The 27,545-nt window shown below is 37.3% G+C and overlaps 1 protein-coding gene across 5 annotated transcripts in view; it reads left to right on the plus strand.

Moving 5' to 3' along the window:
• Positions 1–27,545, plus strand: part of FAM91A1 (family with sequence similarity 91 member A1) — a 47,014-nt gene that overhangs the window by 12,243 nt on the left and 7,226 nt on the right. For 4 of the 5 annotated variants that reach the window (XM_047421405.1, NM_001317917.2, NM_144963.4 and 1 more), the window contains 12 exons: positions 3,789–3,895; positions 4,400–4,438; positions 4,948–5,060; positions 5,814–5,929; positions 6,580–6,692; positions 6,983–7,069; positions 8,932–9,064; positions 17,409–17,557; positions 18,839–18,973; positions 19,091–19,204; positions 24,586–24,658; positions 25,399–25,548. In XM_047421405.1, the coding sequence (XP_047277361.1) occupies positions 3,789–3,895; positions 4,400–4,438; positions 4,948–5,060; positions 5,814–5,929; positions 6,580–6,692; positions 6,983–7,069; positions 8,932–9,064; positions 17,409–17,557; positions 18,839–18,973; positions 19,091–19,204; positions 24,586–24,658; positions 25,399–25,548 (1,329 nt within the window). Of the gene's footprint in view, positions 1–3,788; positions 3,896–4,399; positions 4,439–4,947; positions 5,061–5,813; positions 5,930–6,579; positions 6,693–6,982; positions 7,070–7,519; positions 7,567–8,931; positions 9,065–17,408; positions 17,558–18,838; positions 18,974–19,090; positions 19,205–24,585; positions 24,659–25,398; positions 25,549–27,545 lie in introns of those variants that run through there. The other variant, XM_047421406.1, reaches the window with a different exon arrangement.

Here is a 27,545-nt window from a genome sequence, read left to right on the forward strand (position 1 = left end):
ATTGGTTTTACTTAAATTCTTTATTCTCATTTTTGTATTTGGTGTACATACTACACTAAAATAATAGAAACCCAAGGTAAATTTCTAACAATCCCAAATCAAATCAATATTTTTATAAATTTTTGTTACCTTTTAATCCTTGTTCAGTGTGTAGCTGTTTTTACATGTGTTCAGTAATCTCATAGAATTGTATGTTCTCATTTTCACTTAACATACTGGTGCATTATTTTTTCATGTTACTGTAGTCTTTTTGTCTATTTCCTTTTCCCTTCTTCCTTTACCTACTTCTCCAAGTTAAACCAATATTAGGAGCCTTGTATATTTGTCATACACTTTATGGATGTATCAATTTATTAAACCATTTTGTATTTCTGGTAATTTAGATTATTTCCAGTTTTTTTGCCACTACAATACTGATATGTTCAATATCCTTGAATACAGAGTGATGCTTTTTTTTCTATAGGTTAGATTTCTTACCAATTTATAGAAGCACTTACTATGTTCAGGTTATATGTTACAAGTATGTCTTGTGGCATATCTTTTAACTATTGTTCTTGTGTTTTATTATACTTAGATATTGAATATTTGTGTAATCAAATATAAAGTGTCAAAAAATTTCAGAGAATGACCCTAATATTAACAAATTAGTGGTGATAGGGCTTATTACAGAAATACTTCTTTATATCAGTGTTGAATCTTGACAAGATATCATGCTGTAGCGTGTCCAGACCTTTGGGTTGGCATATGTTTGTGATTCTTTAATAACACATTTTAAACCTTGTGCATATGTGAATTTTTTTTTTTTTTTTTTTTTGAGACGGATTCTAGCTCTATCGCCCAGGCTGGAGTGCAGTGGCATGATTTTGGCTCACTGCAACCTCTGCCTCCTGGGTTCAAGCGATTCTCCTGCCTCAGTCTCCCGAATAGCTGGGATTATAGGCACCCACCATCACGTCTGGCTAATTTACTCTACAGGTAAAACCCATAGAGACAGGGTTTCACCATTTTGGCCAGGCCAGTCTTGAACTCCTGACCTCAAGCAATCTGCCCGCCTCGGCCTCCCAAAGTGCTGGGATTACAGGCGTGAGCCACCATGCCCGGCCTGCATCCTATTTTAAGCTTGGAAAGATACCTTAAAAAGTACAGGAAATACTAATTTGCGTTTGTATAGTTGATGCCGTAACAAAATACTAGTTTTAAAATGAGAAAGATTTGACAAGGAAATGATTTCTGAAGACAGAGGTGGCCGTGATTTCCTGTCACAGTTGGAAAATATGAAAGTATTACTCTAGTGCCTACTGTCATCAGATAAGCTGACGTTGATTCATTTGAGATCCACCTATTAATAAAAAGATTAGTCTTTGACTAGTTCATTTCAGTCCAGTTTGACTGTCAGTTTGAACATTGACTCACATTAGAGTAACTTTTAATATTACTTATGGCTAAACTAAATTCATTTGAAAAAAGCAGTCAGAGAAGGGCCAGATGGATGGCTGCCCCATTACATTGATGTGTTCTACCATACTTCACTTAGTAGCTGCTGGTATTTGGTGGTACAGACAGACCCATGGGATGATAATTGCTAAACTTACCCTTGTCACCATGTTACCTCTTTGGCTGTTCCCCAAATTAGAATAAACACATAAAAACAGTTTTGACAACATGGAAGGCATCAAATTCAGTACAAATAATACCTGAATGTGATTTCAAAAGAGGCATTTCAGATACGTTTCAACAACAAAACAAACAAGCACTATGGTTGGTGATATAAATATAAATGGAGATCAGAAATACTTTTAAGGGAGTAATCATGAAAGGCTCTATTATTAAATAAATTTATTCCATTATTCATCAAATTTTCTAACTGTATTTTGTGTGTCTTTTATAGCTTCCTGATTTCTGTTATGCTTGAATGGAATACCTGTAGGATATAGAAATAGTCTGAAAATTCTTGAGAACTTTTGTCGTATATATTTAAATTTGCAGTTTGTTTGGAACTTATTTTCATATTTGATGTGGAATAAGGGTTCAACTTATTTTTCTTCTCTTTGGATAACCAATAGCATTTGGACAAATGCTAGCACTGTTTCAAATTTCTTCATGTAGAGTCACCTTACTCTTTTTGCTTAGATACAAATTTTGGCCTAGGAAAATTTCTAATCTCATAGTGCCTTGGTTTCTTTATCTCTCAAAATAGGGGGTAACTGGCCAAGCACAGTGGCTCACACCTGTAATCCCAGTACTTTGGGAAGCCAAGGTATGAGAATTGCTTGAGCCCTGGAGTTCGAGACCAGCCTGGGCAATATAAAGGGACCCCTTCTCTACAAAAATAAAAATGAAAAGAATTAGTCATGCGTGTTGGCATGTGGCTGTAGTCCCAGCTACTTGGGGGACTGGGGCAAGAGGATTGCTTGAGCCTGGGAGGTCGAAGCTGCAGTAAGCCACAATCCCCACCCTGCATTCCAGCCTAGGTGACAGAGTGAGACCCTGTCTCAATAAATAAATAAATAAATAGATACATTTAAAAATAGGGGTAATTATACTACTGTACAACCCACGGAGTTAGGAGGATTAAATGAAAATGTATATATAAAGTACTTGGTAATAGCCTAGCACTTAGTAAGCATTCAATAAATGCTATTATTATTTACATAGCTGATAGTGTAGGGAAATAATTAATGTTGTCAAAGACGGGATTTCTAAAATATTTCTAAAAAGAAACCATTGATCATTAAAAGTACCTAGATGACTAGAAATATAGGTAGTACTAAATTAGAAAATGACATGAGCCAGATCTGTAAAGTGAATAACCTATCCTCAGATGTATGTACATTGTAGTTTTTCAGTGTCTCAGTTTTGACCATTTGAATTTTGTCTTATTTTTCACTATTAGGAATAATTTAAATTTTTGGGTACAATTAGATGATATTAGGGCCAGGGGACATAAAGATACCCAAATGCTACTATGGCCTAGGCATTCCTCCTTCTCAGGATATTTTCAGGGTGAATGTACCCACAGGGGAGAATGGCAAAGGAAAGCATAGAGCTTGTTTTTTATTGGCTGGGCAGAGCACTTTGGTAAATCAGATTAGAACATTTGGACCAAAGAGATAGAAGTGAGTATGAATGAACATTCAGGTGGAGAGTGATGGTTGGGCTGCCCACTGTGCTAAAGGGGATCTTGACCCTGTTGCCACTGAGGCCCACTGGGGAGGATACCAGAAAAGAAAGCCCCAAAGAACGAGTTAGCCCAGTGACTTCTGGTAAACATGATGGTCATGCAGATGAATTTCCATTTTTAGGATGGAGTAGGGATGATGGGGAGACAGAGCCAATACTTTGCATCCACCTGGTTTTCGTATAGCGTAGCAACTCTTTCTTGCAGTCATTTGCTTTTCAGCTTTGGCCCACTCACCCCTGCTGCCTATGAGGCATCAAAAACACATGTATCAGAAACCCTTTGCAGGCTCCCCCATTCTGAAGCAGCCCCTGTTCCCTCACCCTTCTACCAAGTCCATGTCATCCAGCATTTCTGAGTTACCTGTCTCAGTAACTCTGAGTTCCATGGTGAATTAAATGAACTCTGTGGATTTCGTGTCTACCTTCAGAGTCTTCTCTGTGTACGTATTGTAGAGTTTCAGAAAACTTGCTATGGAGTGGATAAATAAATCAAAAGCTGCATTCAGTCCCTAAGTTAGAGGTTTCTTTTTTTAATTAGATATGTAAATTATACTTTCTTGTTTTATAAAATCTGTACCACTGAGAAAAATCTCTTCTGTTTGTTTTAGTTCCACCTCTTGAAGGTTTTGTAATGAATCGAGTGCAAGGTGATTATTTTGAAACTCTACTCTATAAGATATTTGTTTCAATAGATGAGCACACAAATGTTGCAGAGGTAAGTTTGACAACGTCTCATGAAAATATAATCTCAAGATTGTAAGTTTGTGTAAAGTAAGTAAAGTTATTTAATATGGTAGTATCTTTTTAAAATCTCCATGTGGGGAGATCATACCATTATTACACTTAAATGTCATTATTCTTAACGTTCTTATAAATGTATATTAAAATTTAAGTTAATAATTTATAGTTTGGTTAACTTTTTATATGACTTTTTGTACTAAAGTATTGTAGACTATATTGATCTATCCAGGAATTTTATTTTAAATGAGACGAAATTAAAGAGTAAGGAATCTTAAATTGTTATGGTCACTCCATGGATTTGTACTATAAGGATCTTAGAGATAGGGAAAGAAGAAAGTTCTGAATTCAAAATTTATTCAGTCTTCTAATTATTCATAACTTAAAATTTTGCTGATTATGATTATATTGGTCTATTACAACTGTGTAATGTGCTGTTAATTCTAAGAATGTAAAAATAAATTTTAATTTTATCTTCTAGCTTGCAAATGTCCTTGAGATTGACTTATCCCTGGTTAAGGTATGTTATTTTTATACTCATTTACTGGTGATGTGATAACTGAGTGGATTTTACTAGTAGATTTTTATCTTGATAAGCTACTGAGAAACGAAGACATTGAGATTGTTGTTAGCTGTCTGAGAGAACGTGCACAGTAAAGGGGCACTTGCAAAGACAGGAAAGAGCAGGAAAAGGGGCCCTAAATTGGGATTCAAACACATGGACTGAAAAGAGAGCACTCATGCAAGAAGCAGCCCAAGCAGTATCTTGTAGTGAGGTCCGTTAAAGCAACAACTCCTGCTTCATTAGGGGTAGATGTAGGGAGGGCAAGGCCAGAGAGTTGGAAACATTCCCTCCTATACATTTATGAAGACTTCAAGGGAGGAGCAGGTCTACTGAAAATAGTTTCTGGTTACGGGATGAAAATGTTTGAGAATCACTATTAGTCTATTACACTATTTTTTCTCTACAAATATTGTGATGTCTAGTTTATTTTAAATGGTAATTAGTTTCCTTTATATTCCTTTCAGAATGCTGTTTCAATGTATTGCCGATTGGGCTTTGCCCATAAGAAGGGACAAGTAATTAATTTGGATCAACTTCATTCATCATGGAAGAATGTTCCATCCGTAAACAGATTAAAGTAACTTAAATTTATTCAGTATGAGCTATTAGAGTTTCCTTTTGAAAAGACATTTAATTTTACATACATAAATTTATTTATTTATTTATTTATTGAGACAAAGTCTCTCTCTGTCATCCAGGCTGGAGTGCGGTGGCGCGATCTCGGCTCACTGCAACCTCCACCTCCCCGTTTCAAGCGATTTTCATGCCTCAGCCTCCTGAGTAGTGGGGACTATAGGTGTGCACCACCATGCCCAGCTAATTTTTTGTGTTTCTGTTAGAGGTGGGGTTTCACCATGTTAGCCAGGCTGGTGTCGAACTCCTGGCCCCAACTGATCCACCCACCTTGGCCTTCCAAAGTGTTGGGATTGCAGGTGTGAGCCACTGCACCTGGCCCAGAAATTTTATTTATTCAACCTGTCAGTTGAGGTGAGCCCTTTATATTAGTGATTTTTAATCTTGTGTGTGTGTTACAGATCTTTTTTGGAATATAATGAAAACTAAGAAGGCTTTTCCCAGAAAAAAAGCAAATAAATATTTTACATAAAATCTTGAAGGGTTCTTGAATTTTCTGAAGCCTATCCGTGGATCTTAGTTAAGAACCCTTGTTGTATGTAGGCAGAGCATTTTTGGGCTGCGACTTAATTTTGGGCTTGAATATAAGACTGAATTTTGATGGATTGTTCATAATTTAAGTCTTAACTTCAGTAGATATTTTAATGTAAGGTCATTTATATGATTTTTAAAAAGCAAATGCATTCTTCATTAATAGGAGTACCTTAGATCCACAGAAGATGCTCTTGTCATGGGATGGAGGGGAAAGTAGGAGTCCTGTACAAGAAGCTTCATCGGCAACTGACACTGATACAAATAGTCAAGAAGATCCAGGTTAGCAGTAACTCAGTTTAACATAGAGTCTGTCTGTAGGTACGGCACATGTCCAAACATACACTCTTACAGTTACCTTCTAATTTTAGTTTAGATTTTATTCAATACGCAGTCTTTGAGTGTTTTACTATATTTTGGGCACTGTGCTAAGTCCTAGGTATATAAAACTGACAAGAATATGGTACCTTTCTTCTAAGAATTAAGTCTAAGGAGAGAGAAGGGAATGTGACCAAACAAATTACAACAACACGGGCACCAATTATAATGCTTGTAGGGTGCAAAGAGGAAGAGACCCTTAATTGGCTAGAGAGGTTTGGGAAGCCTTCACAGAGAAGATGTTATTTGAGCTAAGAATGAAGAAGAGCCTGCCAGCTGGTCAGGGAAGGAAAGCCATTTCAGCCCGAGAGAATAGTGAGGCTAAGCCCAAAGGGAAACACAGCATAGTGGACAAGGCCTAGGGTTAAATGCTTTTTAATATTCTTTGCGCTTCAAAATAGGTATGGCTGGAACTTCTTATGGCTATAATAGTGCCTTTTTAAAATTATGTACTTTCTGGTTATCAAATAAAGCTGAAATGAAATACTTTCACTCCAAATGGTAAGCAAAGAATAATTTCCATTTACTTGATTTTAAATTATGGTGTTTTTCAGCTGACACAGCCAGTGTAAGCAGCCTGAGTCTGTCTACAGGACACACGAAGCGCATCGCATTCCTGTTTGACTCCACTCTTACTGCCTTCTTAATGATGGGAAATCTTTCACCAGTAAGCCCAATTCTTGTTTAAATATGAAGGTGTTTAAAATAAATACTAGATATAAAATAATTTAATGCTTTTATATCTTTTTTAAAGTACTACATTTATTCCCGAAGCACAACTGACTTAGAGGAGTATAATAACTTTCAGGGAAGGTCCTTTTGTAATTGGAAGAATTAGCCCCTCACCCCCCAATCCTTAAGTTTAAATATATTTGAAAGGATAATATAAATATTTGATAGTATGCTTAGCATAAAAAGGGAGAAGTAGAACTTTAATATTTTGTTTCTTTTTTTCAGAACTTGAAAAGTCATGCAGTCACAATGTTTGAAGTAGGCAAACTCTCAGATGAGTCTCTGGACAGCTTTCTTATAGAACTAGAAAAGGTAAATGTAGATTGCATGTAAGGGGATGTTAGGGCATTTGGAATCTGTCCTTGCTTGACAGAATGCCAATTATACAGTCTGTTGATTTGGATGGGCTTTCAGTGTATTCTTGCTCGTTCCTACCTCATTCCCCAAATTAGTACTCTTACAGTCATTTAGACTTAAACATATTGAGTGGGTGAATTGATTTTGTGATTTTTAAAGTGATATGTCTACCTCATCTAATTCTTAACATAATTTGAGATAATGAAGAAATGGGGTATAGAAATTTTAGTCTGTAATGTTTTAAGTTGAATTTTTGCTAAAATAGCCTTTCAATTTTTTTTCTGGTATGACTCTCTAAGATCACCTCTTAAGCAGTTTGATTTGAAGTTTTTGTTCCATTTACCTTGAATCTGGAACAATATCCCTGGGTATCATATTTATGTCCGCTCTCACTATCCCTTTTAGCATCTTGAAGACTTCAGCCATATTTGCTCTTAACCACCTTTTTCCCCGTGAGTACAGCCCTAGTTTTCCTTAGCTCTAAATAAATCTGATTGCCCTTTATTGGTGTTTTTCATTCTTCGGATATTTTATTCTGGCCTCTTTGTATTCAAATAGTTTGTGTGCCTAATCTGTTCCTTGACTAATACTTTTCGTGCCTTTTGTGCTTTATGATGAACTTTGTATTTTCAATGCACTGTTTAGAGAATTTGTGGTGATTCTGCAACTCCTTTATATCTTAAAAAAAAAAGACTGTAACATTTTTCACTGCTCCTACTCCATAGGATTTTTACTTTTATTAGTGCAGAAATATGTGTGAGATAATCCTTTGCTATTAATTGGTCTCTTTTACTTTTACCTTTATACTGCCATTTATTTCTTCATGCTTCTTTATTTGTTAACCCCATTTCTTATTGTATATTATCTTCTACTAATAAATTTCTTACTATGTTACTGCACATTTCAAGTTCTGGTTTTCTGATTTTTATCTTTTTTTCACCTCAGCTAGTCTTTTATCAAATGTAGCAAATTGCAAGTTGACTTCTGCTCTTTTACTCATAAATCTATGTTCTTTTTCATCACAAAGTCATTCTTGGGAAAGCCTTTCAGTCTGAGGCTTAGTTTTTAAAGTGGATTCTTAGCTATTTTTTAAGTAGTTTGATCTTAAGATTGATTTCTTAAATGTATGCAAATCTGATTTAGTTATTTTCCCGTTGGTAGACCTATCATTCCATTTTCTGTGTTGTTTCTGGGATATATGTCTCTACTTATTAAAAGGTGACTTATTCAGACTTATTCAGAAGAGCATACATTAAACTATAAGGCCAGTGAAGGCAGGGGTTTTGTCCATTACTCTATCCTTATCTCCTAGGGAGGTCATAGTCCATAGGAGGCACTAAGTAAATCTTTGTTGAGTGAATTTAAGCTGTGTGTTCAGCAATGGTGAACAGCTATGTTGAATCACAGACTCCAGTGTCTCTTGTAACTGGTAATACAGAATTGTGAACAAAGTTATGAGAATTATAGGTAAAACTGGTGACCTTGGAGTACTTTCCTAGATGGAGCAGAATACGGGTTTTAGAGTTGTTTAAGCACTCTATTTGAATCATTTGGAACATGTAACATATAATGCTATAACTTAGCATTATTCAATTGCTAAAATTGTTAGTCTTAGTTGAAGTAATTTCTATCTCCATAGATGTAGTAAAATTGGGAACTCAACCAAGACTGAGGTTAATAACTTGTTTCGGTATTGCCTGGGCAAATTTTTGATTTACTACTTTTGAATAATGTCTTATATCTCTATTATATGATTATTAGAGTGAATGGCATAAAAGTGGTATTTTTGTTGCAAAATCTATTTTCTCTTGGTTTAGGTTCAGAGCACTGGTGAAGGAGAAGCACAGAGATATTTTGATCATGCACTTACTCTGAGAAACACAATACTGTTTCTGCGTCATAACAAAGATCTAGTTGCGCAAACTGCACAGCCAGACCAACCCAATTATGGTATGATAAATATATTTAATTTTGAAGACATGATCATATGAAACTTTTTTCTAAGAAATTAAACAGATCATGCTCACTTATATAATCATCACTTACGTATTTTGTGTAGATAGCATATTGAATTTATAACTAGAGGCCTGTTTTGTGAATTTCTTGCTTGTTAACTGTTTCTTAACCTTATTTTACTTTTCTCATGTGCCACTAACATTTGTAGTATTTAAATCTGTTCAATACCTGCAAAAGTGTTGGTGTTAATTTATTTAAGTAGCTGGATGGAATTTAGAACAGGCATCAGCTCTGAGGGGTGAACAAGGGCAAAATTTTAGTTAATGTAGGAAGCATAAAATTTCAAGAATGAAAGATTCCATCATAATGAAAAGAATAAAGAGGAGCCTTCTGTTCAAATGCTACTGCAATACTTACCAAAAGATTTTACTTTTAAAAAGGAAATAGATAATTCTTTTTAAAGAGTAAAAGAAGTAGCAGCAATTTTAAGGTATTGATGAACTTTAATGGAGCTGTTGCCCTACTGGGCACTCTCAGTTTTGTGATAGTTGGGGGTTCCCAAACTTTAGTTGAATTGATGGTGTCAGAATTTCTACCCAGATGGGGATTTGGATTCAGTAGGTTTTGAGGTGTGGCATGGCACTCAGGAATGTGTGTTTTTTAAAAGATGATTCCAGTGCTCAGCTAGGCTTGGGCACCCCTGCATGAGCACTTGGCTCAAGTTCTTAGACATTCACAAGAGTTGTGTCTTGGGGCTTCATGGGTCCTCAATACCACTATAACGTTTAATTTTGATTAGTTTCATTTACCTAAAAACTATTTTTTCTGGCCAAGAACATCAGTTTCTTAATCATCTCCATTTTCATTTATTCTCTCACTAGCATCTGGCTTTCTTTTCAGCTCAATTTTAAAAATTGAGGGAGGATTCAGCTGTTACTTAACAAGCTGTCACATAGGTGAGAACAAACATGCTGGGTAGTTTACTTGAGTGAGGCTAGACTCACTTGGTATCAAGTGATTCACTTCTGCAGCCTTAATATGCCTTATCTGAAGAATTACAGATTGTTACATACTGGGGCTTTTGAGATCATTCATAAATAGTTAAAACTGAGAATATTAAATTGCCAAATGCCGAGAGTCCTAAGCACTTACTGGTAGGCATTTGTTGATGGATAACCATTTTTGGTTAATAAATACTAAATCATGTGATAAAGCAGTGGTGAGTGGCACAGTCTTGAGGATGTCTTTGGATATAAAACTCCTGGAATTTCTGGGACTTTTTAGTGATTTATGGAGATAATGTATTAGATGATTTGAAATACTCTGTTAAAGCTGTCTTGAAATACATTGTCCTTTCCTGCCTATCACAGAATGTGAGAACATTAGAGAGTACTAGTGACCAGTGAAGTGTAACTCCTATTATAGATAAAGAAATTGGAGTTTATATTAGCTAAATCTTCTGCTTGTTTTTTAGTCATCAAAGCCCATATTATTAGTAAATGGAAGAGCCAGGAATGGAAGACTTGAATCTGTGTCTGTTGATTTTTTTTTTTCCATTGCCCTGTCCCTATATTATCTTCTCTTGAACGCTAAGCTTTGTATTCATTTACCCATAAACATTTGTTGCTTAGTAGTCTGGGCTGGGCTAAATTTTTTCCCCATGAATAGTCAGTGTACCATGAAGTAAGTTAAATGGTAAATCTAAACCTATTCTCTATGAAAATAGTCCTGTGCAATCCTAACCTTTAAGGTGGGTTTAATGTTAGACTGTTCCTGACCCTAGTTGGAGATTTAATTGCTTAGAATAATTGCTGGGTCTCCAAAGTTAAATTTGATGAATGCCTCCCCTTAAGACCAAACCTGCAATTACTTATGAAATTTCATTTTTGCTACCAGCATTTCTTAGCTTAGCTCCTCATCTGAATTGCAGAACATGGAAATGATTGGCGTGACTATTTCTCAGTTTTTCTAATGATGGTGCACATTAGTACCGTTCTCAATGCATGAAAAAGGTCATTCGTTCTATGTAGAGGATATCTTAGGGCATTAAGGCTTCATGCTCAGCCTGTTGAGAAATGTTGCTTTCTGCAGTTACTGGGCTTGGTAACTGAACCTTACTCTTTTTTAGAAAAGAAATTCTCTGCCGGGTGTGGTGGCTCATGCCTGTATTCCCAGCACTTTGGGAGCTCGAGGCAGGCGGTTCACTTGAGGTCAGGAGTTCAACACCAGCATGGCCAACATGGTGAAAACTCGTGTTTACTAAAGATATAAAAATTAGCCAAGTGTGGTGGCAGGCACCTGTAATCTTAGCTGCTCGGGAGGCTGAGGCAGGAGAATTGCTTGAACCTGGGAGGCTGAGGTTGCAGTGAGCTGAAATGACACCACTGCACTCCAGCCTGGGTGACAGACTGAGACTCCGTCTCAGAAGAAAAAAAAGAAATCCTCTAGTATTGGTGTTTTAAGCGTCTTGTTTGAGGAAAAAGAATTTTCTTTTTATGTCACTAATAATTTATACTTTGAGTATATCATGTAGTACTTGTTATCTACTATAAAGCAAAAGCATTGTGATATTATACAAGCAAACTCTGTTATACATGGAACTAGTGTCTTAGTCCTAGGAGTCCTTAATCCCTTGGTTTTAAATAGCACGGCGTACTGTTTATAAATAAAAGTCATGCGTGGTCTGTTTTTTTCTCGTTTTCTAAGCATGATTTTTTTCCCCCAGGTATCTTTGTCTTTAAAAGGACATTGTTTAACTGTGATTAGTATAAGTCAGACATAAAAACCACTGTTTATAATTTGGCATTCTAGTACTGTGGAAATGTTTAGGAATTAAACCACATTTGTAGGAAAGCAATCACAGTTGTCAAGCTATTAGAAACGTGTTCTAACCACCATGAACTCTTTAGACTTCCTACTTTCCCTGTTGTAGTATACATTAAATATTATCTATACTTGACATTGATAATGTTGAATTTTGCCTGAGGGTTAAGACGTCCCTTCACTCTTTTGTGTTTTGGGAAGGGGCTTAGTGCAAGGACCCACTTTTTCCCCGTATGACTTAGATAAGATTCACAGGTGAATTCCCCACTCCCTTCTGTTCACCTATGACAAGGTCAGAAACAGATCCACCAAATTCCCTTTCTTTGCCTCATAAGCAGTGAGTTGAACTGCCTGTTCTGAATTATCAATCAGAACAAAATGCTTGTTAGCCAAAGCTTGTTTAAGCTTCTCTCCTTCTTCCAGCCCCATGAACTTTGACTCACCCTCAACCTAAGCCAGGATGTAGCCCTTCCTTTAGGACCCCTCCCAGAAAATATGCTGACGTTATGGTTAAACATTCTGTGATCTGCTATCCTATACCTCACCCTGTCATCCTACTTCCTCACACCCCATGCTTTCCATCTACCCTTCATTGGTGATGTTAATTTTGATCACCCAGTTAATGCATTGTCTGATTTTTCCACTGTATAGTCAACTATTTTTTTTCTCTCACAACTGATAAGCAATTGGTGGGGAGATACTTTGAGACCATGCAGATATCCCACTCCTCATCAGTGTTTCCTCCTAGATTTAGAATCCATTGGTGGTTCTTGCCTGAACCATTCTGTACTTTGATGGTTGGAAATTGGTAATTTTTCCCCCACTTGAGCAGTTCTGCCATATTTAGCAGTTGTGACCAGGCATTCTCTCGTATTCTCTGTATGAATTTATGAATTCTTATCTTTTCAGTAGTCTGCGATTAGTCATTATTGTCTCTCAATTATTTTCGTGCCCCAGTTTTCTCAGATTTTGCCATGAGGATTTCCTTTAAGCTTGCTCCTGTCTCCTTTCTCCTTATGACATGCCTCCAGGTTTCTCCGCTAAGCAATTCTTTACTTTCTGGCCAAGCAATAGCATCTTATTGTGTATTTATTCTGCCTCAGTCCTGGAATCAGCCATTTGTCCTAGGAGCCTAATGTCTTTTACTGGGGATTGCTATTAGAGACCAAGATACTGGTGTTAGTTGTGCTCATTGCTTCTAGGCATTTTCAGGAGGCCATTATATGTATATATGTATATTTTTAGATGTATTCTTGCTTGAAGGAGGATATAGCTACCTTGCTCTTCTGAAGTTTCTTTTAACGTTAAATATCTCTTTTTAGAGAGCAATAGGATTTCGTATTGTTCAAAAGGATTAAGAATAAGAATGCTTAAAATCTGTTGTATGTTGAGTGAGTTCATGCTCTACGGACCAGAAATCTAGGGTACACATTTCCAAATGAGGAGCTCTTGCCCTTATACTAAAATGAGGACTTGGCTATGATTCTCTTTGTAGAGATCGGAAACTGGAGGAGAGAAGCACATAGCTTCTCCTGACACTTTGGCTTTCGTTATACAGTTGACAAGTGAACAACGTGGCTATGAATTGCACAGGTCCACTTATGGGATAATTTTTATGAGTAAACGTTTTGGAACATTTTTTTGGAAATTTGTGACAACTTGAAAAAACTTGCAGACAAATCTCATAGCCTAGAAATGTCAAAGAAGTTAAGGAAAAGTTACATAGGTCATGTATGCATAAAATATATGTAGATACTAGTCTATTTTATCATTTATTATCATAAAATATATACAGATCCATTATAAAACATTCAAACATATCAAAACTTAATGCACACATTTACAGATCACACAGTGACATTGCAGTTGAGAGAAATGTAAATAAATGGAAAGATATAGTATTAAGCTATAACTGCATAGAATTACCTGTAGTACATATGGTACTACTGTAATAATTTTGTAGGTATCTCTTGTTGCTATTGTGGTGAGCTCAAGTGTTGTATCTACTTGAGTACCTGCTTAAAATGCCCTGTGACGCTGATCATCTCTGAGTGAGCAATTTGTCTTTACGTTAAATTGCCTATTGCAGTTAAAAGTGATCACTCATGGTTCTCTCATATTTTTCATTGATTTAGTGCAGTACCATAAACCTCAAATAACACTAGGGGAGCCATACAGAGAGCCACTAGTGATGCTGGAAATTCTCCCAAGAAGCGGAGAAAAGTAACATTACAAGAAAAAGTTGAATTGCGTGGTATGTACTGCAGATTGAGATCTGCAGCTGCAGTTGCCCATCATTTCAAGATAGGTAAATCCAGTGTAAAAGACGATTGTTAAATAAGAGAAGGAAACTTATGAAGCTGTTTTTACATCTGTGCCAACAGGCATGAAAACATTGCGCTTTTTGCAAAATACTTTCTTTTTCTCATATTGAAAATGCAGCTTTTATGTGGGTGCAGGATTACTATAAGAAAGGCATACCTATAGACTCTAATATGATTTGAGAAAAAGCAAAGTCATTATGACAAAGCAAATGAAAGATAATTAATATTCTCTTAAGCTGGAGAATTTAATGCTAGCAAAGGATGGTTTAATCATTTTAAGAGGTTTGGCTTAAAAAATGTTAAGATAGCAGGAGAAGCAGTTTCTGTTGACCGAGAGGCAGCAGATGAGTTCCCAGATGCTAATATGTTTTGATCTGTGTGTGTGTGTCCCCACCCAAATCTCATGTCTAATTGTAATCTCCAATGTTGGAGGGAGGTTGTTGGATCATGGGGGCAGTTTCTCATGGTTTAACACACCACCCCCCGCCCCCCTGCCCTTTACAGCTGTCATCATGATCGTGAGTTCTCACGAGATCTGTAAAAGTGTGTGCATCTTCCCCATCTCTCTCTTCCTCCTGCTCCGGCCATGTTAAGATGTGCCTGCTTCCCTTTCACCTTCTGCCATGATTGTCAGCTTCCTAAGGCCTCCTCAGAAGCAGAGGCCACTCTGCTTCCTGTACAGCCTGCAGAACCATGAGCCAATTAAACCTGTTTTCTTCATAAATTACGCAGTCGGAGGTATTTCTTTATAGCAATGCAAGAACGGAGTGATACAGATACCATTAAGAAAATCATTGAGGAGAAAGGATATCTGCCTGAAGAGGTCTTTAATGCATGCGAAAGTGTCCTATTCTGGAAAAAAATGCCATTTATTAGTAAGGAAGAGAAATGAGCACCAGGATTTAAGGCAGGAAGGGGCAGGCTTACTACTGTTTTGTGCAAATGTAGTCAGGTTTCTGGTCAGGACTGCGCTTATCTATAAAGCTGCTGAGCCTTGAAGGGAAAAGATAAATGCCAGCTGCCAGTCTTTTGGCTATACAGCAGAAGGGCCTGGGCAACAAGAACACTTTTTCTGGACTGGTTCCTTTGATGTTTTTTCCCTGAAGTCAGGAAGTACCTTGCCAGTAAGGGACTGCCTTTTAAAGTTCTTTTCGTACTGGACAGTGGTCCTGGTTAACCCACGCAGAACCCGCATGTGTTCAACACTGAAGGCATTGAAGTGATCTACTTGCCCCCAAACACGTGTCTCTGATTCAGCCTCTAAATCAGGGGGTTATAATGACCTTTAAGGCTTTTTACACACAGTAGTCTATAGAAAGGATTGTCTGCTCTATGGAAGAGAACTCTAATAGAACCTCATGAAAGTCTGGAAGAATTACACCACTGAAGATACCATCATTGTTTTAGAAAAAGCTGTGAAAGCCATCAAGCCTAAAATAATAAATTTCTGCTGGAGAAAACTGTCTAGATGTTGTACCTGACTTCACAGGATTTACAACAGAGCTAATCTAGGAAATAATGAAAGAGATTTTGGATATGGCTAAAAGGTAGGGAGTGAAGGGCTTTTTTTTTTTTTTTTTGAGATGGAGTCTTGCTCTGTTGCCAGGCTGGAGTGCAGTGGCACAATCTCGGCTCACTGTGACCTCCGCCTCCCGGGTCAACCGATTCCCCTGCCTCAGCCTCCCGAGTAGCTGGGACTATGGGTACGTGCTACCATGCCTGGCTAACTTTTTGTATTTTAGTAGAGACGGGGTTTCGCCATGTTGACCAGGATGGTCTCGATCTCCTGACCTCGTGGTCTGCCCACCTCGGCCTCCCAGAGTACTGGGATTACAGGCATGATGCACTGTGCCTGGCCTGAAGTGTTTTAAGATACGGGTCTTGGCTGGGCGCGATGACTCATGCCTGTAATCCCAACGCTTTGGGAGGCCGAGGTGGGCAGATAACGAGGTCAGGAGATCGAGACCATCCTGGCCAACATGGTGAAACCTGTCTCTACTAAAAATACAAAAATTACCTGGGTGTGGTGGCGCGCACCTGTAGTCCCAGCAGCTTGGGAGGCTGAGGCAGGAGAATCACTTGAACCTGGGAGGCAGAGGTTGCAGGGAGCCGAGATGGCGCCACTGCACTCCAGCCTGTCGACAGAGTGAGACTCTGTCTCAAAAAAATAAATAAATAAAAAAAGATATGGGCCTTGAAGAAATTCAAGAGCTAATAGATAGACACCTTGATGGAGATGGGTGCTTCCAAATGAGTGCCAGACAATGAGGAAGACATAGAAAAAGCAGTGCCAGAAAATAAATTGACATTAGACCGTCTGGCAGGATTCTGATTATTCAAGACTGCTTTTGACTTATGTGCACTCTTCTATGATACAGACACTGCAGCTAAAGCAGATGGCGGAAGAAGGATTGGTACTGTATAGAGACATTTTTAGATACATTAAGAAACAAGAAAGTTAGATGGAACTTACAGTGTGTTTACAGTGTGTAAAGTTACACCCATCATGCCTGCCTCTCCTGCCTCCCCTTCCACCTCTTCTGCCTCTGTCACCTTGGAGACAACAAGCCCAGTCCTTCCTCTTCCTCCTCCTCTTCAGCCTATTTACTGTGAAGATGAGGAAGAAGACCTTTATGATGATCTACTTCCACTTAATAGTAATATATTTTTTCTTCCTTATGATTTTTTTTCTAGTTTTATTGTAAGAATATAGCATATAGTACATATAACATATAAAATATGTATTAACTGTTCGTATTATTGGTAAGGCTTCGAGTCAGCAGTAGGCTATTAGTAGTTAAGTCATTGGGAAGTCTGAAGTTATATACAGATTTTTGACTGTGCACGGCGTCAGCCTCTGTAACTTCTCTGTTCAAGGGTCAACGGTATGCCACTGTTGTAGAGTGGCTCTGGATGGAGAGAGGAAGTACGGTAAAACAAGTACATCTTGTTGCAGTAAAAAGTAACCTGAAGTAGATGATTATCTGTCTAGACCAGAGAATAAAACATTTTAGCTTTGCATCTCAAAGTGTCTTGGTGGTCTCCTAGGAAATTTGGTACTTCTTAATAGAGTTACTTTACCTTAAAAAGAAAATTTAAAATCTTAAGTCAGTTATCAATATTGCATCTTCAACATTTTTGTTTCACACTCTCAGTCTTTTATTCTGTGTGTGTGCTTGATCATAACTCAGGTTTTCCTCTGGATCTCTTACGCTGTGAAAGCCTTCTTGGTTTGGACCCTGCAACTTGCAGCAGAGTTCTAAACAAAAATTACACGCTGCTTGTTTCCATGGCTCCCCTCACCAATGAAATCCGGCCTGTCAGCAGCTGCACCCCTCAGGTAAAGACCTACTTGGAAGATCCACTTGGTAGTGTCATGAGTCCCATCAGTTTTGTTTTCTTCTCTATCTGCAGATACCAACTATTAAAATCACTGAATCATAGAAAGCAATTTTGTATTTTATGCCTTTGTAAGATGATATGTTCAATTTGTGGAGTGTAATTGGTATATTTTATATAAGTATCACCTAGTGACTTGTGACACATTAGATTAAAATTTATTCATGTACAGAATATTTTAAAGAGAATGTTTTAGGATGCTCCAGAAAGGAAGCTGGCATCATTTTGAGAGATAAGATAAATTTAATTAGGAAAAGTTAAATGTCTTCGAAGTGGGGCTGTGATTCTGAATAAGCCGAAAAGAAAAGATGGTGCTTGAAAGCTAGAACTCTGGTTAACTGTATAATTTATATGTGAAAATTCCTTCTGGACTTTTACTTAAAAAATATATATATATCAGTTGTATTCATTTGTATACTTAACAAGGAAGTTGTGGCCTGTGCCATTTTCAGAGTGGGGATTATGTTGCTGTTCTTCAGTGCTGCATCTTACCTGGGTTCCTAGACAATGCAGGGTTTAATGATGTAGCAGAAAGGAAGGGATTCTTGTACGCAGGTAATTTGCCTATGTTCTAGCTGCCTCAGTGAGCATCCTGTCTTCACACCAATTTTGTCCTTAGTATTCAACAAGAGATTTGCATCTAACTAACCTTTTTAAAATAATTCTCTGTGCACACCACCGAACCTCTCCTATTCTTTAACACAACCTCCAGACATGGTAGGAATCCATGAACTACTGCATAAATGGTAAAATGGATGGAAGGGTGGGCGATTCCTCTTGTGAAAATTGTATGTGATTAATGATAATAATAGCTAATACTTTAATATCGAGCTTATTATATTCCAAGTACTGTTTTAAGCTTTTTGAACAACCTTACAACATCCTCTTGAGGTAGATTCTTTATTGCTATTTTATAGATTGAGCAAAATGAGGCACAGAGAGCTTAAGTAACCTTCCTGAGGTGATATGGCTGGAAGGGCAAAACCAAGATTCCAAACTAGGCAGTCTTCTCCAGAGTGCATTCTCTTAATTGCAGTGACAAGACATAATTTCTTAATTCCAGTATAAAATTGAAACTATTTTAATGAAACATTTAAAGTTATTTTCTTGAGGATAGTTGCAGTTAACATTTATGTGAAGGGATTTGCTGTTTATAAGACTGTTCTCGGTCACTTATGTAACACTTTATTTTAACTTTATCTTAACTGTTTTATGATTGTAGCATATTGGACCAGCTATCCCAGAAGTCAGCTCTGTCTGGTTTAAACTGTACATTTATCATGTCACTGGACAAGGACCACCATCCCTTTTATTGTCCAAAGGTACAAGACTTCGAAAACTGCCAGATATATTTCAGGTATGTGTGGGAGGTTTGGGTGGTTTTTTTATGTGTGTGTGAGCAGTATGCTAGATAATTTCTTAATATTTTCCTTATTTCTGAATGCCATTTTACCTGTTAATTTCTTTTCAATAGAGTTATGATCGATTGCTAATAACATCTTGGGGTCATGATCCTGGAGTAGTTCCTACCTCAAATGTGCTCACGATGTTGAATGATGCTTTAACACATTCTGCAGTTTTAATTCAGGTACATTTATCTTATTTGAAATTTTGTCTTTTTATTATAAAGTTGATAATTTTTCTAGCTTTCTATATTGAGTTGCAATAAAATGTCAGTCATTTGAAATTTATGAAGTTGAAATGTAAAAAATCAGAGATATGGATTTTAGTCCTGGCCGTTTGGCAGTGTGGGAGTGGTAGAAATAACATGAACTTTGAAGTTAGACCCAGGTTTGCATTGCAGCCTCACCTGCTTGCTGCGTGACCATGATTTTTTTTATTTTTTTTTAAATAATAGCTTTACAGTAGTTTCCCCATCTGTGGGGAATATGTTCCAAGACCCCCAGGGGTTGCCTGAAACCACCAGTAGTACCCAACCCTATATATAGTACGTGTTTTCCTATATGTATATATATATATATAAATACCTGGGATAAAGTTTCATTTATAAATTAGACATCTCTTACTAGAGATTAACAACAATTACTAATAAGAAAATAGCATACTGTAATATAAGTTATATGAATGTGGTCTCTCTCAAAATACCTCGTTATACTATACTCACCTATTTTCAGACCTTGGTTGACCACAGATGATAACTAAAACCATGGAAAGCAAAACCTCACATAAAAGGGGACTATTGTATTGAGTATATAATTCACATACTGTACAATTCACCAATTTAAATTGTGCAGTTAAGTGGGTTTTAGTGTGTTCACAGATATGTACAGCCATCACCACACTCAATTTTAGAACATTTCATTACCTTAAAAAGAAACCTTGTATCCTTTAGTGATCACTCTTCTATTTTCTCCCCGCTACTCATCTCCTTCCCTCTAGTCTTAAGCAACACTAATCTACTTGTTGTCTCTATAGATTTGCCGAATCTGGGCATTTATGTGAATGGAATCATATATAATATGTGGTCTTTTGTGACTGGCTTCCTTCATTTAACATAATGTTTTCAAGGTTCATCATGTTGTCATAGTATCAATACTTCATTCCTTTTTGAGGCCAAATAATGTTCCATTTTATGGATATGCCACATTTTGTTTATTCCTCCATCAGTTGATGGACATGTGGGTTGTTTTCACCTTTTGGCCATTATGAAGAATGCTGTCATAAACATTTGTGTACAAGTTTTTCTGTGGACATATGTTTTTATTTCTCTTGGCTATATATGTATAGGGATGGAATTACTGGGTCATATGGTAATTCCATGTTTAAGCATTTAAGGAACTGCCAGACTGTCTTGCAAAGTGGCTGCATCATTTTACATTCTCACGGGCACTTGATATTATGTGGCTTTTTGATGATAACCACCTTAGGAGGTGTGGAATGGTATCTCATTATAGTTTTGATTTACATTTTCCCGAAGACTAATAATGTTGAGCTTCTTTGCATGTGCTTATTGGGCTGTGTGACATTTTCATGATAAACCTTATACTTTATTTCCCACCTATAAAATGGAGATGGCAATATCTATTGTATAATAACAAACACTTATAATAATGGCAACTAGTGGTAAGGTAAGCAGTTTATGCTCATAGAATTGAGAGAATGAAATGAAAATGTACGTGTCAAATGTGTAGCACACTTGCTGGCACATAATAGGTTCTCCGTAAAGATTTCGTCAGTTCATCTAACAATTGAATGTGCATATTTTGCGCTAATTAATATCAATATGCAAATAAGACAGGGCCCCTCATCTTCAAGGAATTTAAGGATGGTGGGAAAAGCTGCATAAGCACTCAGTTTCAGTTTATCGAATAGAATTACATATAGTGGAAGACTTAAAAAGAACTATCCAGTCCAGCCTTGGGGCAAGGAGAAGGGCTTAGGGGAGGTTCCTTAGAGAAAGTGAGACCCAGGCTGAATACAAAAGGATGACTTAAAAGAAGCGAGGTAGTAGGGGTCAGCATGATTAAATCTCTGGGCAAGGATTTTTTTTTTTTTCTTTTTTCTTTGCTGCTATTTTTCTAGTGCCCAGCACGGTGCTTGGGTCATAGTAGTTGTCCAGTTAGTGTTTGTGGAATAAATAAATAAGAATATGAAGTGACATAACATGCCAGGGTCAATAAGCTGTTCAGTGTTTTTGAGGGGTGAGTTGGAGTGTGAGGGGGTTGTGGTCAGAGACAAGTCTGGAGAAGTAGGCTGGCCCTGCAGTGCCGCCTGCCTTGAGTGTCCTGCCGTGGAACTGAGAAGTTGACCTGTAGATTGATGGTAGCAATTACAGGGGGGTAACAGGGATTAACATGGTCAAATTTGTTTCAGGAATCAACCTTGGGATGATATTGAGAATGGGAGGGAGTGGGGAGACACCTGAAGCAAGAAGACCAGTTAGGACTGTGTGTAGTAGTTTAGATAAGAGATAAAGATAGCCCGGATCAAGGACATGGTAATAAGAATTGAAAGGAAAAATGGATTTAAGAACTACTACAAATATACAATTAATAGAATTGATCAGATATCTGAGAGAGATGGGAAGAGGGAAGAAAGATTCTGGGGTATTTGACTTGTGAAGGTAGAAGGGTGGTGATACCACTACTGTAGGGAACATAGGAGGAAGTGACATCACAGGAGGTGGTGATATCACTACTCTAGGGAACACGGGAGGAAGTGATATCATGGGAGGTGGTGATACCACTACTCTGGGGAACACGGGAGGAAGAGCACATTTATGGGGCAGATGATGTGTTGTGTTTATATGGTGCCTGTGGTAATTGGAAATATTCTGAAATTCAAATGAGAGGTTAGACAAGAGTGATTAAGTGTCAGCATCAGGTGGTAGATGGTAGTTGAAACCATGAGAGGATGAAATTAGCCAGGGAAGATATATAGTATGGGGTGGTCGTGGGAGATAGCATCATAGAATGGGCTAGACATGGACTTAAGTCAGACTGCCTAAACTCAGATCTTGGTTCCATCATTTACTAGTAATCTTAGACAAGTTAAATACCTTTTTGAACTTTAGTGTCTTTACCTATAAACTGGAGATAAAGTTCCCATCTTTTTAAAGTTTTTGAAAAGAATGACTTGAGCACTGTGTTTAGCACATAGGAAGATCTCAGAAAACGTTATTGTGTTGGTAGTGGCAGTAGAAGTAGAGTGAAGGAACAGTGGGTGATTCCACGAGCTTCAGTTTTCCTTACCTTTAAAATGAAGGGTGGCTGGGTGCAGTGGCTCACGCCTGTAATTCCAGCACTTTGGAAGGCTGAGGTGAATTGCTTGAGCCCAGAAGTTGGAGACCAACTTGGATAACATAGTGAAACCCTGTCTTAATTTATAGTAACAAATCTTTCTTGAATAAAGTAAAATGAGAGAGGTGGTTTCCAAGGTCTTTTCTGTAGGTGGTACTCTGTAGATCAAGCTAAGTTAGGTTTTTTTTTTTTTTGGATGGGGGCTAGTGCAAAATATGGATAGAAAAACAAATCAGCAGACAGTACCTGTTTTTATTTATTTATTGTTTTGAGACACGGTCTCACTCTGTCACCCAGGCTGAAGTCCGTGGCATGATCACAGCTCACTGCAGCCTCGACTTCCCCTGGGCACAAGAGATCCTCCTGCCTTAGCCTCCAGAGTAGCTGGGACTACAAGCTCACGCCACCATGCCTGGCTAATTTTTTATAGAGACAGGGTTTCACCATGTTGCCCAGGCTGGTCTCAAACTCCTGGGCTCAAGTGATCTGCCCGCCTTGACCTCCAAAAGTGCTGGGATTACAGGTGTGAGCCACCACACCAGGCTGACAGTACTGTTTTTAAAGTGTTTGTTAAGGAGTTTTGCTTTTGCTAAAGAAAAATGCCTTTTTAATTAAATTTGATGGAAATAAATTTACCTTATTGGAATTTAAACGTGTTACAAATTAAGATTTTTGGTTAAAACCATAATTTATTTTAGCCATCAGGTTTAGGAAATAAAAGAGAGCTCTCAGAAATATATTTAAATAGTTATATGAAACAACAAAAAGAGTATGCTTTCCTTTGGATATATCAGGGTTTCTTGAATTTGAATAATGTATGGGTCTCTCTTAAAGGGAAGAATTTGGAGATCCTCAGTATTAAATTTCTATTGTAACAGTTCTAAATACATGTAGACATAATGTTAAGTTCTTCATGCTTCTTGTTATTACACAACTACAAATTCAAATCAAATTTTGGAATTAAATATAAGCAAAGCTTTAAAACAAAACTCAAATGAACAATATTAATTGAATGTGATAGATGAAACTGAATTATCATTTGTAACATGAGAGTGAAGTGGGTAGACTCAGATTTTTTAAATTTAATTTTTGAACTAATAGTACATTCACATGATTCAAAAATAAAACGTTATTAAAAGGTGTAGAGCCTGGGCGCGGTGGCTCACACCTGTAATCCCAGTACTTTGGGAGGCTGAGGCAGGTGGATCACCTGAGGTCAGGAGTTCAAGATGAGCCTGGCCAACATGGAGAAATCCAGTCTCTACTAAAAATACAAAAAAATAGTTAGCCGGGTGTGGTGGCGGGCGCCTGTAATCTCAGCTACTCAGGAGGCTGAGGCAGGAGAATTGCTTGAACCTGGGAGGTGGAGATTGCAGTGAGCCAAAATTGTGTCATTGCACTCCAGTCTGAGTAACAGAGCAAGACTCTGTTTTAAAAAAAAAAAAAAAAAAAAAAAAAAAAAAAGAGGTATAGGTCGAAAAGTATCACTCCCCTGCTAACCCTATCAAGTTTCCACTCCCCATCTCTCCTCCAAATCAGATAATTTCATCTGTTCATTTCTCCTATATCCTTCCAGAGTGTCTTTATGCATATGCAAGTACCTGCACACAGATGTGCCCCTTACCTTTTCCATTTAGCAATTGGAGATCTTTCCATTGCAGGTCATAGCTTTCTTTCATTTATGAACCTCCATTGAAGATATGTCTCCTAATTTAGTTAACCAGTCCCCTGTTGGTGGACATTTTGGTTGTTTCCAATTATATGTAATTATTTATCGTAGCAAGTAATTCTGAATATATTTTATTTCAGGGCAGGTTTTTGAGTTTTGCATTCTTAGCCTGTGGTATGCTATGTGATTATGGGGATTCTTCCACCACTTTTCCCTCTCAGAACTCTAGCTAACCTTTGTGTGAATAAACTTGGCCTCCTCATTCACTCTTCACTTGGCTAACACCTGATTTGCCTGTTAAATTGGCCTCCTTTTTTTGCATTGGCCTATACATTCAATTTGAGAAACATTGCCTTATAGATTATTATACACATAAGATTGTCACTGCTTGCTGAAGAAAAATAGAAAATTGTTGAAAGAATTTTGATGAGGTATTAATATGGAATATACCATTACATGACACAATCTTATTTACTTTTGAATATCAGTGATTGGAAATGAAGGTTTCTTGTATACCTTTTAACTTTTGTTTATGTTTAGGGGCATGGTCTGCATGGGATAGGAGAAACTGTCCATGTCCCATTTCCATTTGATGAAACAGAACTACAAGGAGGTACCTTTTGAATTGTATCTATTGACTTTTTTTTTTTTTTAATTATTACTCATGTCAACAGTTTGGTGGAAAACATGGCAGGAAATGAATTCTTGAAATTTTTAAGTTCTAGGTTCTTTGCTACTAAAGAGTGTTGGCAAAAGGTAGTTTTTTGTCATGTGCTTTGCCATCCACAAAGAACTGTTAGAATAAGACCCGTTTAGGATTTTTGAAAGACTACTAGTCTGTCTTGGAATAAAGAGAATAAGTAGATATCTGCCTAGATGGAAGACTTTTCTCTGTTTCTCCTTTTTTATCATTCACACAACTGTCTAATACTTCATAAAGTCTAAGGAAAAAAATAATTGTTTACCTGGAGATGCAGATAGTGACAACAGGATCTTAAAATTTACAAAATCTCAAAAACTGCTTAGTAGATCCTTTGCCTTGGGGGATTATTGTGTGAATTATAAAAAAGAGGTTTCTTTATATTTGAATATAGAGCATTTTTCTCTTTTATAAGTTCACATATTTATGAGAACTTGAGTTAAGATATAAATAATTTAGGCATGTGATTTCAAGTACATTGTTAGCTTTAGTTTCAGTAAGAATGACAACTTTATATATTTCTTTTTTGGAATCAATTATGATGTATTAAAGTATAAAAGTAGTTCTAAGAGTTGTTTAATAAAGTATGTTTAAGCTGTTGGCGTTGTGTTATTAGAAACTGTTCATTAATGTGATGTCCGTTCTGTTTGTAGAGTTCACTCGTGTCAATATGGGTGTTCATAAAGCATTGCAGATACTAAGGAACAGAGTGGACTTACAGCATCTCTGTGGATATGTCACCATGTTGAATGCTTCCAGCCAACTTGCAGATAGAAAACTCAGTGATGCTTCTGATGAGAGAGGTTAGCCAATAGTTGGATTCTTTGGATTAAGATAATTGGTTTTGAGTTTGACACAGTGTTAATATATGAAAAGCAGCAGACCTTTGTGGGGATGCTGAATTATTGAATACTCAATATTCTTTCACTGAAGCACGAGGAAATATTTTGGAACATCATTTGGACAAATGTCAGTTGTTCAAATGAAGAAAATAGGATTGGGGTACAGAATGGTTTGGGACTTTTGGGTGCTCTACTGTCATATCTGTGTTTATTAGGCTTTATTAGGTTAGCTTTATAGGGTGATGGTTTCAAAACTCAAGTCTCTTTATACAAGTGTTTCCAAAATTGACTTAATAGTTTTTCCCTTTCAACTTTTTCTGTCAAAAGGTACCATTGTCTTAATTATCTAGGTCTAAAATCTTACCTTTGTCTCATTCTTTCCTTTTTCCACTATGTTCAGTTAGTTTCCAAGTTCTGTGAATTAGGCTTTAGATAAGTCTCTCATGTCCATTTCTTCCCCTTTCTCTTCATTTTAAATTCTCTGTGACTGCTCTTCTTGTCTGGGTCTTGAACTTTAAACCTTAAACATGTGCTGTTGCAACCATTCCCTGCTTAGCCTTTCTGGCCTCTCCTTTCTATCTCCAGTCTGTCCTACATATTGACAATAGCTAATTTTCCTTAGATATCACTTACTTTTTTTTTTTTTAATTTGAAAATCCATTTTCAAATCACCTTCTCATGCTTACTAGTTGTTTCTGCTCTGGCATAATATTGGCATATATGTGGTTTGGGTTGCCGTGGTGCCAGTTCTTATCCATTGACTCTGGGAGATCTTTCATTATCTCCCATTGATTGACAGTATTCCATGAGCCTCTTAGTTTGAAATTCTGAGGAAATGTGATTGATTACTTGCCATCCAGTAGATTGGGTTGGCTCCCATTGAGATAGGTACTTACTCCTATCTCATTTGTCTTTGGCCAAATAGTTGACTGCCAAATATTGCAGGAGCATTTTCTAGAGAAGAGGGCTATGACTTAAGCAGTCATTTCAAAGCGTATCTACTACAGCTCTCCTTTTTTATGTCATTCATTCCACAAACATTTATGGAATACCTGCTTAGGTGCTGGAGCAATTTAATAAGACCAGGCCAGGCATGGCCAGGTACAGGCTCATGCCTGTAATTCCAGTCCTCTGGGAGGCTAAAGCAGGAGTATTGCTTGAGGCTAGCAGTTTGAGACCAGTCCGGGCAATAGAGCAAGACCCTGTCTCTACAAAAAAAAAAAAAAAAAAAAAAGAAACAAAAAAGACAATGTTGTTCCAAGGATGAAAACCCTAGAGAGGAGACGAGTGAGTCAGTATACAGTGTGGTGTTATTGACTATGATGGGGTCTGCATAAAGCGCTAACACAGCACAGAGAAGGCCTCTTAGAGAAGGTGAAGTTTGAGTTTTGAAAATTGAAGAGTTAGGTAGACAAAAGATAATGTGTTTTTGGAGGGTGGCAGCCTTTCAGGCAGAGGGGAATTAGAAAACAGTAGTTCATTGTGGCCAAAAGAAAGGATTTGTTGGACAGTAGTAGAAGATGAGAGTAGAGAAGTAGATAAGGTCTAAGGGATCTTGGAGGATCTTCTGTGCTGAAAGATAATGAGTCAGAAAAGAACTTTGAAGAGTAATAACATAATCAGACTATATATTTCCACAGGGGTGCAATTGGCTTCAGTAACTTGGGTCCTCCTTTTTGAATTTTGTTTCTTTAGGTCAGGGTTTCTCAATCTCAGCACTATGTGCAGTTTGAGCTGGCTAATTCTTTTCTGTGGAGGATTGTCCTGTGTATGGTCAGATGTTTAGCATTCATAGATACGAATAGCATCCCTGTCTTCATTCGTGTCCCTTGGGGATCAAAATTGCTCCCCTGTTTAAAACCACTTATTTAAGCCAAGGATTATGCATTTTCTTTCTGTCATCATTACTATTGTCTGAAGTCTTTTCCATGTTAGGACTGATTTATTGGCAGCTTCTG

This window comes from Homo sapiens, chromosome 8 (assembly GCF_000001405.40).
Source record: "Homo sapiens chromosome 8, GRCh38.p14 Primary Assembly".
Taxonomy (NCBI): domain Eukaryota; kingdom Metazoa; phylum Chordata; class Mammalia; order Primates; family Hominidae; genus Homo; species Homo sapiens.